General features: G+C 39.4%; 1 long non-coding RNA gene across 1 annotated transcript; it reads right to left on the bottom strand.

Moving 5' to 3' along the window:
- Window positions 1-9,828: 9,828 nt before the first annotated feature.
- Window positions 9,829-12,620, bottom strand: LOC124904215 (uncharacterized). The gene is made up of 2 exons (XR_007066212.1): window positions 11,392-12,620; window positions 9,829-10,005 (listed from the first exon to the last, which is right to left on the bottom strand). It is a non-coding gene; the product is annotated as an uncharacterized LOC124904215 (long non-coding RNA).
- Between the last annotated feature and the right edge of the window lie 58 nt (window positions 12,621-12,678).

Raw genomic sequence — 12,678 nt, 5'->3', positions numbered from 1 at the left:
AGACTCAGAGCTGTTGGCAGGGAGAAGGGCACAGTGGGAGTGAGACCGGCCTTCCAGTTTGCATCGGAGCTGGGTGAGGCCTGTGACTGCCAGCTTCTCCCACTCCCCTGACAACCTGCATGACTCAGGAGAGGCAGCCATAATCCTCCTAGGTACACAACTCCAGTGACCTGGGAATCTCACCCCCATCCCCCACAGCAGCCATAGCAAGATCCAGCCATGGAGAGTCTGAGCTCAGACACTCCTAGCCCCGCCCTGACCTGATGGTCCTTCTCCATCCACCCTGGTAGCTGAAGACAAAGGTCATTTAATCTTGGGAGTTCTAGGACCCTGCCCACCACCAGTCCCTCTCCCACTGATACTTTCTGGAAAGTGCCACCTCCTTTCAGGAGGCCAACCAGCACAAAAATAGAGCATTAAACCACCAAAACCAAGGACCCTCATGAAGTCCATTTCACCCTCCACCACCTCCACTGGAACAGGCACTGGTATTGTAGGAGGACAAGCCACCAACAAAACCCCTCAGACACTGAGTTAAAGAAGGAAGGGCTTTATTCAGCCAGGAGCTTTGGTAAGACTCACGTCTCCAACAACCGAGCTCCCTGAGTGAGCAATTCCTGTCCCTTTTAAGGGCTCACAACTCTAAGGGGGTCCACGTGAGAGGGTCGTGATTGATTGAGCAAGCAGGGGGTACATGACTGCGGGCTACATGCACTGGTAATTAGAACGGAACGGAACAGAACAGGACAGGGATTTTCACAGTGCTTTTCTATACAATGTCTGTAATCTGTAGATAGCATAACCAATTAGGTCAGGGGTCAATCTTTAATTACCAGGCCCAGGGTGTGGCGCTGAACTGTCTGCTTGTGGATTTCATTTCTGCCTTTTAATTTTTACTTCTTCTTTCTTTGGAGGCAGAAATTGGGCATAAGACAATATGAGGGGTGTTTTCTTCCCTTAGTATCCATGGCTCAGAGACCCATAGATGGTCCACATCACAGGACTCTGTACAGAAAACCCCCAATACCAGCCCAGAGCTGGGCAGACACACTGGCTGGCTAGACTCAGAAGAGAGACGACAATCACTGCAGTTTGGCTCACAGGAAGCCATACCCATAGGAAAAGGGGGAGAGTACTACATCAGGGGAACACCCCATGGGACAAAAGAATCTGAACAACAGCCTTCAGCCTTAGACCTTCTCTCTGACAGAGCCTACCCAAATGAGAAGGAACCAGAAAACCAACTCTGGTTATATGACAAAACAAGGCCCTTCAACACCCCCCAAAAATCATCCTGGTTCACCAGCAATGGATCCAAACCAAGAAGAAATCCCGATTTATCTGAAAAAGAATTCAGGAGGTTAGTTACTAAGCTAATCAGGGAAGGACCAGAGAAAGGTGAAGCCCAATGCAAGGAAATCCAAAAAAATGATACAAGAAGTGAAGGGATAAATATTCAATGAAATAGACAGCTTAAAGGAAAACAATCCACAATTCAGGAAACTTTGGACACGCTTTTAGAAATGCAAAATGCTTTGGAAAGTCTCAGCAACAGAATTGAACAAGTACAAGAAAGAAATTCAGAGCTCAAAGACAAGGTCTTTGAATTAACCCAATCCAACAAAGACAAAGAAAAAAGAATACGAAAATATGAACAAATCCTCCAAGAAGTCTGGGATCATGTTAAATGACCAAACCTAAGAATAATGGGTGTTCCTGGGGAAGAAGAGAATTCTAAAAGCTTGGAAAACATATTTGGGGGAATAATTGAGGAAAACTTCCCCAACCTAGCTAGAGACCTACACATGCAAATATAAGAAGCACAAAGAATACCTGGGAAATTCATCACAAAAAGATCTTCACCTAGGCACATTGTCATCAGGTTATCCAAAGTTAAGATGAAGGAAAAAAATCTTAAGAGCTGTGAGACAGAAGCACCAGGTAACCTATAAAGGAAAACATATCAGACTAACCTAGCAGATTTCTCAGCAGAAACCGTACAAGCCAGAAGGCAATGCGGCCCTATCTTTAGCCTCTTCAAACAAAACAATTATCAGCCAAGAATTCTGTTTCCAGCAAAACTAAGCATCAAACGTAAAGGAAAGAAACAGTCATTTTCAGACAAAATTGCTGAGAGAATTCACCATTACCAAGCCACCACTATAAGAACTGCTAAAAGGAGGTCTAAATCTTGAAACGAAGCCTGGAAACACACCAAAACAGAACCTCTTTAAAGCATAAATCATACAGGACCTACAAAACAAAAATACAAGGTAAAAAGCAAAAGCAAAAAACAAAAACAAAAAAATAACAAAGTACACAGGCAACAAAGAGTACGATGAACGCAAGGATTACCTCACATTTCAATACTAACATTGAATGTAAATCACCTAAATGCTCCACTTAAAAGATACAGAACTGCAGAACAGATAAGAACTCACCAATCAACTATCCACTGTCTTCAGGAGACTCACCGAACACATAAGGACTCACATAAAGTTAAAGTAAATGGGTGGAAAAAGCCATTTCATGCAAATGGACACCAAAAGCGACCAGAGGTAACTATTCTTATATCAGACAAAACAAACTTTAAAGCAACAGTGGTTAAAAGAGACAAAGAGGGACATTATATAATGATAAAAGGCTTGTCCAACAGGAAAATATCACAATCCTAAACATATATGCACCTAACACTGGAGCTCCCAAATTTATAAAATAATTACTAATAGACCTAAGAAATGAGATAGACTGCAATACAATAATGCTGGAGGACTTCAATACTCCACTGACAACACTAGACAGGTCATTAAGACAGAAAATCAACAAATAAACAATGGATTAACTATACTTTGGAACAAATGGACTTAACAGATACATACAGAAAATTTCTTCCAACAACCTCACAATACACATTCTATTCAACCGTGCATGGAACTTTCTCCAAAATGGACCACATGATAGGCCATAAAATGAGCCTCAATAAATTTAAGAAAATTAAAATTATATCAAACACACTATCGGACCACAGTGGAATAAAACTGGAAATCAACTCCAAAGGGAATCTTCAAAACCATGCAAATACATGGAAATTAAATAACCTGCTCCTGAATGAGCATTGGGTCAAAAACAAAATCAAGATGGAAATTAAAAAATTCTTCAAACTGAATGACAATAATGACACAACCTATCAAAACCTCTGGGATACAGCAAAGGCAGTGCTAAGAAGAAAGTTCATAGCCCTAAACACCTACATCAAAAAGTCTGAAAGTGCACAAACAGACAATCTAAGTTCACACCTCAAAGAACTAGAGAAACAAGAACAAACCAAACCCAAACCCAAACCCACCAGAAGAAAGGAAATAACCAAGATCAGAGAAATAAATGAAATTGAAAAAAACTACAAAAGATAAATGAAACAAAAAGCTGGTTCTTTGAAAAGAAAAATAACATTGATAGACCATTAGCAAGATTAACTAAGAAAAGAAGAGAGAAAATCCAAATAACTTCACTAACAAACAAAACAGGAGGTATTAAACCTGACACCACTGAAATACAAAAGATCATTCAAGGCTACTATAAACTCAGCAAAATTAAGTTACTTCCTCCTTAGTTTGGTAGCATCAATGTCCTGACCCAAATCCATATCATCTGACTTCTGATTTAGTGCTTTTCTTTAATATCTCCAGGAATCAAATAAAGCTCACTGTCCAAGGAGGCATGTTGCTTTCACCAGTGCTCCTCAATCCTGATATGCATTAAAATCACCTTATTAAGTATAAAGATTCCCTGGCCCCTACCCTTCCTCTGACTTTCTGACATAGTAGGTCTGAGAGTGTCATTGAGTGCAACAATGACAAGAAAATGGCAATGCAATGCTATGATTTTCTTGCATTGTTCCTGGATCTACAACCAGGAGTACTGGCCATTGGGAGCCTGAATAAGTTGGCTCTGGAATCCTTTTGGAATGACCCTGTAGCCTTCTCACTATCTGTATGACAAGGTGCTTCAGGTTTCCCTTATTCATTTCCTGTTTGCTGAAGCTACCATAGCTTAAGGCCTAAAATTGCTGGCCTGTATGGTATGTGTCTCTGTGCCAAAAATATTTTCAGTTTACAGAAGTATTTCTTCTCTTGTTTAAGTAATAAGTTGCTAGTTTTCCTTCTCTGAGTTTAGTGAAAGGAAATACAAGCTCCTCTGATCCACAGGGAAGGAGCACATCAAACACTGAGATCCTGACAAAAAAAAAGAAAAAAAAAGGCAGAAATCCCTCAGTGAAACCTGTCCAATCAGTCTTACAAATGACCAGGCTCAAGAATCAACAAAGCCAAATAAAGTGTTTCTACCAAAAAAATTTTAAAAAACATCAAGATTTAAGAAATACTTTTAATCTTTGATGCATTAAATAGTAAAACTAAAAATCAACATTTCAACATTCTGACAACTCTATGTGTATAACTTCTGCAACTCAAATGGACTAATTTCTGAAAAAAGCACAAACAAGCAACTAAAACTCACCCAAGTTAAAATAGATAACCTGAACTGTCATATAATTTCTAAAGAAACTGAAATGGAGTAAAAAAGTTAAGAATCTGAAAAACAAATCTCCACATCCAGATAGTTCCTCTTGACTGGCAAACCTTACTAAGCATTTTTTAAATAATTCCAATTCTTAATAATTTCTTTCAGAAAATATAAAAGGGAACATTTCCCAATTCATTCTATGAGCACAGCATCATCCTGATAACAAAATTAAACAAATACAGTACAAAAGTAAACTACAGACCATTATCCCTCATAAACATAGATGCAAAAATCCTCTACAAACTATTAACAAATCAAATCCAGCAATATAGAAAAATAATGCACACCAATCAAGTGGGATTCATCCTGTGGATGTAAAGCAGTTCAAAAATCAACTAGTGTAATTCACCACACTAAAAGTCTAAAGAAGGAAAAAAAATCACATGGTTATATAAATAGATAAAGAAAAAGCTTGATAAAATATGACAGTCATTCATATGAAAACTCAGCAAATAGGAGTGGAAATGAACTTCTTCAAACCGATCAAGGGCATCTGCAAAAACTCTACAGCTAACATCATACTTGATGAAACACTGAATCTTTTGCCCCTCAGATCTAGGAACAACACAAGAATGTTCACTCTCACCACTCCCATTCAACATTACATCGGAATTGTTAGTACAATGGAAGTGTTAGTGCAATTTGGGAAGAAAAGGATATAAAAGGCATATAGATCAGAAAGCATCAAATAAAACTGTCCTTATTTGCAGGCAACATTATTGCCTATGTAGAAAATCCCAGGTAATCTACAATAAAACTCTTAGAACTAATAAATGAATTTAATACAGTCAAAAGATACAAGGTCAGCACACAAAAATCAACCTTCAACAGTTTCTATATATAAGCAAAGAAAAACTGGAAACCAAAATTTTAAAAATGATACTATTTACAATAGCTACAAAAAAAGGAAACAAATAGATATAAATCTAACAAAGCATGAACAGGATCTGTATATTAAAACTACTCTAAGACCAAGAGACTGTCAGGATGGATCACAATTCCTGTATCTCCTTAGATTCCATCACCCTGTAGTTCTTATAATGCTCCTTCTACTCACAATAGAAAAGAAGGCTCAAGACCTTCTTTCTAGAGTTAGCCTTAACAAAGACTAACTTTAATGTTCTCCCATGTTTTATTATATAGATTTCCCCCCCAGTCTAACTCTAAAACAGTCCTTTTAGGAAGTTAGGTAAGACTACATAGAAAACAGCAATTGCTTAGGCTAGAGGAATTTATTCATTCAAGATAGTTGTTATCTACAAGATTCTCCGCCAAGGACTAGGAAACATGGTTGTGTTTCTCTCTTAAAGAGCTTAAAGTCTATGCTGAATACATATATTAAACAAATGAAAGAAAATTAAATACCCAGGAAATTGAGGGGAGAGCACATCTATGATTTAGGAAGGAGTTAATCTAATCCCCCTATAACAAGATAGTTCACACAGCTCTTTAGTATGTCTTAGCCCTATTTCACCTTATCAGTTAATTAGAGAAAAGAAAGAAAGAGAGAAAGAAAAGAAGGAAAGGAAGGAAGGAAGGAAGGAACGAAGGAAGGAAGGGAGGGAAGGAGGGAGGGAGGGAGGAAAGAAAGAGAGAAATCCAGTAGGGCATGGTAGTGTGTGCCTATAGTCCCAGGTACTCGAGAAGCTAAGGAGGGAGGATTGCATAAGGCCAGGAAGTCGAGACCAGCCTGGGCAACAGAGCAAGACCTGCCTCTTAAGAAAAACAAAAACAAAACAAAAAACAAAACAAAAAAAATCCTTGGAAATCTCTAAGGAAGCTGAGCATGGTGGCATACGCATGTAATCTCAGCACTTTGGAAGGCTGAGGCAGGAGGACTGCTTGAGCCCAGGAGTTCGAGGCTGCCATGAGCTATGATCCCACCACTGCACTCCAGCCTAGGCAACACAGCAATGAGACCCTGTCTCTAAAAAATAAAAAACAAATTTAAACAAATCAAAATTGGGAGAAGGGAGACGGGAAAAGAAAGAACCTATTACTTTGACCCAAACACAACTTCAAAATAATAATAATAATAATAATAATAATAGATATGAGCCCTGGCTATGTTGCCCAGGCTGATCTTGAACTCCTGGGCTCAAGCGATCCTCCCACTTCGGCTTCCCAAAGTGCTGGGATTACAGTTATGAGCCACTGCACCTGGCCCCAAACACAACTTTAATAGAGCAACATGCAGTCAGCATCCCTACCCAGTTGAATGAACTGGGTAAGTGAAAGAAATTAAGAAAGCAATGAGCACCATCTAGTGGCCAGAATTTTTATTTTTCCTCACAATATTTAATCACTACCTTACATTACTGATGAGTTTGTTCAAACTTACTGCCTGTCTCCCCTCCCTACTAGAAAATAAGGTCCAGTGGGCAGGGTCTTTGTCTTTTTTGTTCCTCACAGCATCAGTAGAGTCTAGAAAGGTTGCCAGGCACATATACATATAATAAATAATTTTTTTAAATGAATGAACATCTTATATACACTTTATTATCCCAACTCCATTCCTAACACTTCTCCCTGAAAGTTTACAATTATTAAACATCATATTGATTATTTCACGAGTTTGATAATTATTTATATTCTTGTGCTATTTATAATAGAATCTTCTCCCTCTACTCCCCACAAAGGATTTCATCAGTATCCCTTCTTTAAAGACCTAGAAAAGCTGGTGTTGATTAATATTCCTAACATTGCTCTAGGGATCTAACTGGCATGAAGCATCTAGCACTATCTTTGGGCCAGCATTGTGAACACTGCTGCAATAAACATGGGGGTGAAGCCATCCCTTTGATATACTAATTTCCTTTCTTGTGGGTATTTACCCACTAGTGGGATTCCTGGATGATATGGTAGCTCTGTTTTTAGTTTTTGTTGTTTTGTGTTTTTTTTTTTTTTTTTTTTTTCAGGAACCTCCAAGCTATTCTCCATAGTAGTTGTACTAATTTACATTCCTACCAACAGTGTACGAGGTTTCCCTTTTCTCCACACCCTTGCCAGCATTTGTTATTGCCTGTCTTTTGAATGTAAGCCATTTTAACTGGGGTGAGATGATATCTCATTGTAGTTTTTATGTGTAATTTGCATATTTTGAACCAACCTTGCATCCCAGAAATAAAGCCTATTGGTTATGGTGGATTAGCTTTTTGGTGTTGCTGGATTTGATTTGTTAGTATTTTGCTAAGGACTTTTGTGTCTGTAGTCATCAGGGATGTTGGCCTTTAGTTTTCTCTTTTTTTTTTTTTTGAGACGGAGTCCTGCTCTGTCGCCCAGGCTGGAGTGCAGTGCCTGGATCTCGGCTGACTGAAAGCTCCGCCTTCCGGGTTCAGGCCATTCTCCTACCTCAGCCTCCGAGTAGCTGGGACTACAGGCGCCCGCCACCACGCCCGACTAATTTTTTTGTATTTTTAGTGGACACGGGGTTTCACCGTGTTAGCCAGGATGGTCTCGATCTCCTGACTTCGTGATCCGCCCGCCTCGGCCTCCCAGAGTGCTGGGATTACAGGCGTGGGTCACTGCGCCCGGCTGAAGTTTTGTTTTTTTGCTGTGTCTCTGCCAGGTTTCGATATCAGACTGATGCTGACCCTCAGGGGTTAGTAAGGAGTCCCTCCTCCTTGATTTTTCTGGAATAATTTCAGTAGGATTATTGACAGCTCTTCTTTATACATCTGGTAGAATTCGGCTGTAAATCCATCTGGTCCACAGGTTTTTCTTGTTGGTAGGTTTTTTAGTACTGATTCAACTTGGATCCCATTATTGGTGTGTTCAGGATTTCAATTTCTTCCTAGTTCATTCTTGAGAGGTTATATGTTTCTGGGAATTTACCCATTTCTTCCAGGTTTTCTAGTTTGTGTGCACAGAGGAGTTCATAATAGTGTCTGGGTATTTTTTTTTTCTGTAAGGTCAATGGTAATGTCATATTTGTCATTTCTGATTGTGTTTATTTGGATCTTCTTTTTCCTTATTAATCTAATAGTCTTTAAATCTTATTCTTCCAAAGAAACAACTTTTGGTTTCATTGATCTTTTGTATGGATTTTGCATCTCGATTTCATTCAGTCTGCTCAATTTTGGTCATTTCTTTTCTTTTGCTAGTTCTGGAGTTGATTTGCTCGTTTTTCTAGTTCCTGTAGGTGTGATGTTAGGTTGTTCATTTGAGATCTTTCTAACTTCTTGATGTAGGCGTTTAGCACTATAAACTTTCTTCTTACCCCTGCTTTAACTGTGTTCCAGAGATTCTGATATGTTGTATCTTTGTTTTCATTAGTTTGAAAGACTTTTTTGATTTCTGCCTTAATTTCATTGTTTACCCAAACATCACCCAGGAGCAGGCTGTTTAATTTCCATGTAATTTATAGTTTTAAGAGATCTTCTGGGTATTGATTTCTATTTTTATTGTGCTGTAGTACTAGAGTGTGGCTGGTATTATTCCAGTTTTTTGCAATTTGTTGAGAATTGCGTTATGGTTGAGCATGTGGTCAACCTTAGAGTATGTGCCATGTGCAGATGAGAGGAATGTATATTCTGCGCCAAACTGATTTGTAAAGTCAAAATTCATTTTCCCTTTTTAAAAATTGTTCAAAGACTGTAAAGACTATCTGACTGATTCAAATCACAAATTCTAACAGTTAAGTTGCTATCAATACAGCCAAACGTGTATGTGAATAGACAGACAACAGATAAATGAGACACACATTTACCCTGATCAGCCTTTCCATGGGTTAAGTGTACAATTTCTATTATGGTTTTTGAAATAGTTGAACTAATGTTTGTATAGCTATTATTATCTGGCTAGGAAACATTAGTTTAATATTCTAATACACACACATAAATATTGCATTTAAAATACTTACGTGAGACTGAAAACTGAACATAATTCTCTAGAGCAGGATTATAAGGTGGAAAAGTCTTTAGGAACTTACAACCCCACACTTAGTTGTCTTGTTTCCTAGAGCAGTCCTTCTTAGTACTACTGTAGGGTTATAAGATAAAGGAAAATGTAGTCCTGCCTCCTTGACTCTTAGTACCTAGAAGTCACAGATACCTCTTCAGCAGCATTTTCAGATAATGAGGCATTGCTACTATCTTCCAACTTGTTTTCCTCCCTCACTCCTCTATTGTCACCTGGAAGACCCATGTAAAAGGAAAGCGGAATGCCTTTGGGAATCAACTAGAATAGTAGTCAGTAAACAATTACAGGCAAACTGTGGCTACACTTCAGGAAACAAATGTAAAAGAGTTAAACAAAATTGAAGTTGATTTATTTATCTGCAAATATAGATAATTGGTCCAGAGCTGGAGTGGTGGCTCCATGATGTCAGGGCTCAGGATCCTTGTCTCTCATTCTATTGCACTAGATCATCTTGAACTTGTAGATTCCATATGGTGGTCCAAGAGGGCTGCAGGCATCTTAGACCTGTACCATGCACCCAAACTGGCAGGTAAACTGCAAACCAAGGGAACAAGAAGGGCCTACCACTCCTTTAAGACATTTCATGGCAGCTGCACGTACAGCTCCCATTTATATGCCATTGGCCACAATTTGGTCATACAGCCAACCTAGCCATAACAGAGGGTGGAAATGCATTCTTTATACAATGCACCCATGTACTTTGCTGAAACTTGGGGACTCTATTACTATAGATTTAAAAACAGATTGTGACCCAAAAAAAGTTTTTTTAAAAAAATAGAAGAGAGTATCAAATAGTGGGGGATAAATAGCAGCCCCATCCTAAAGTTTCTCTTTCCCTTTTTCGTAACGACCAATGTTATAGTACTTACTAAGGACTGAGTACTCTCCTAAATATTGTTGGTTTTGTTTTGGTTGATTGATTCATTAAATCATTTAATCCTTACAATAACACTCTGAGTAGGGTTCTATTATTCACTTTTTACAATTGAGGAGACTGAAGCACAGAGAAATGAAATAACTTGCCCAAGGTAACACAGCTAGAAAATCGCAGAGGTGGAATTTGAACCAGGCAATTTGGCTTATCCATTATGCTATACCCCTTTCTCTCTGTTATATTTCAAAATATTTTTAGTTCTTTAGAAGAGGCAAGGAAAAAGGCCTAATCTACATAATTTTTTATTCAGAAAACAAGGGTATAAGGGTAATTTTTTATTCAGAAAACAAGGGTATAAGGTAATATAAGGGTAATATTAGGGTATAAGGGTAATTTTTGTATTCAGAAAACAAGATAAAAGGGTAAAGGGCAATATACCTATTAGCTAGTAATTTCTTTTTCTTTTTTTTTTTTTTTTTTTTTTGAGATGGAGTCTCACTCTGTCACCCAGGCTGAAGTACGGTGGCACAATCTCGGCTCACTGCAACCTCTGCCTCCCGGGTCGAAGCAGTTCTCCTGCCTCAGTCTCCTGAGTAGCTAGGATTACAGGCATGCACCACCACCCCTGGCTAATTTTTTTGTATTTTTAGTAGAGACAGGGTTTCACCATGTTGGTCAGGCTGGTCTCGAACTCCTGACCTGATGATCCACCCACCCACCTTGGCCTCCCAAAGTGCTGGGATTACAGGCGTGAGCCACCATACCCGGCCTATTAGCTAGTAATTTCAAGGACTCACTTACACGGCCTTTTTGTACATTCAGGGCCTTTTCAACTCCTATTTCCCTTTCCAGAATCATTTTTGCAAGGCTGCTTCCTTACCATTCAATTCTGAGTTCTAATGTCACCTCCTCAAAAAAGACTTCCTGACCATCCTATTTAAATTTGCAGCTATCTCCACCCATCACTGCTTCTTTCATAGCACTTACCACCCTCTAAAGTCATTTTTTATACTTACTTGTCTATTGCTTGTCTCTCCCTACCAGAATGTAAGGTTTAAGACACATGTTTTCTCTACCTCATTCTTCCCAGTTGCCTCAACATTATATGAGAAAAAGAAAAACAGCCCTTGGTGTCACGAACAGAACTGACACTTTAGTGTTGTTAGGAATTGACTGCGGTGTTCCCCTGTTAAAACATAACACTCTCATAAAACACTAACATCATACCAGGTCATTCTGTGATCATAATGAAGTGAGACAACAAACAAGATCACACTATTTTTGCCTAACCAGATTTTTAAAAAGGTCACTGTGCAAACTACAAAAATACCAAACTATCCTCCTCCCCCAGCTAATATGATTGTTGCTTCTTTGCCGATTACAGCTTTAGCCCTACACCTTTCCTCCTCCCCCAGCTAATATGATTGTTGCTTCTTTGCCGATTACAGCTTTAGCCCTGCACTTTTCCTCCCTCCTAAAGGTGAGATGTAGTATGATCACCAATCGCGGGGGACCCCACAGCCAGTGCGCGCTGAGTCACACTCCACAGCCAATCCCAGGCCACATCCAGGCTCGCCCCTACCTGTACACAATAATTTCTCCATGCACCTAACCGTCTTCTGAAACTTCCTGTACCTAGTTGAAGAGTATATTCCTTTAATCAATGTATACTTTTGTTCCCTCCTTTAGAACTGAATAACAATGCTAACGCCTCTCCCACTCCCTCTAGCCTCTCATCCTCTTAAAATAGAAGAGGAAAAATATCCAAACATAAAATTCAATTTTTAACAAAAACTCTCCTTTCGCTGACACTGCCCTCCCCAAAGAAGTCACCAGTGGTTTCCTTGTTTTCCTAGAGAATTTTCTTTTTCGCTTTTTAGTGTCATTTTTCTTCCTTCTTCAGTCTCACATGTCCCTTTCATTCTTAGTTTGCTGATCAAACTCATATCCAGGAAAGTGAAGTTCCTTTACGCTTTTTAACCCCACACCCCCATCTCAAATGACAAATGCATCTAGGAACCCCTTTTCACACTCTCTCTAGCCCTGCCCTCTCTCAGGCACCTTCCAAAGTTATTCCAACCCGATCCCTCCACTTGTACAAGCCCAGCGGCCCCACAGCTTGCCCATCCTTGCAAACCAGTCCTCGTCCTATAACCTGCCCCAACCCGATCAGTCGCATACATCCGATTCGAGCCCTGGGGCCAAATTCCATACCCATATCCAAGTCCCCGCCCCACTAACTCGAGCCCGCACCTACGCATGCCTGAACCAGCATGTGATCCCGGCCGACTCCACAGCCAATG

The sequence above is a fragment of the Homo sapiens genome, chromosome 1, assembly GCF_000001405.40.
Source record: "Homo sapiens chromosome 1, GRCh38.p14 Primary Assembly".
NCBI classification, from domain to species: Eukaryota; Metazoa; Chordata; class Mammalia; order Primates; family Hominidae; genus Homo; species Homo sapiens.
This window is presented reverse-complemented; position numbering and strand designations above follow the sequence as displayed.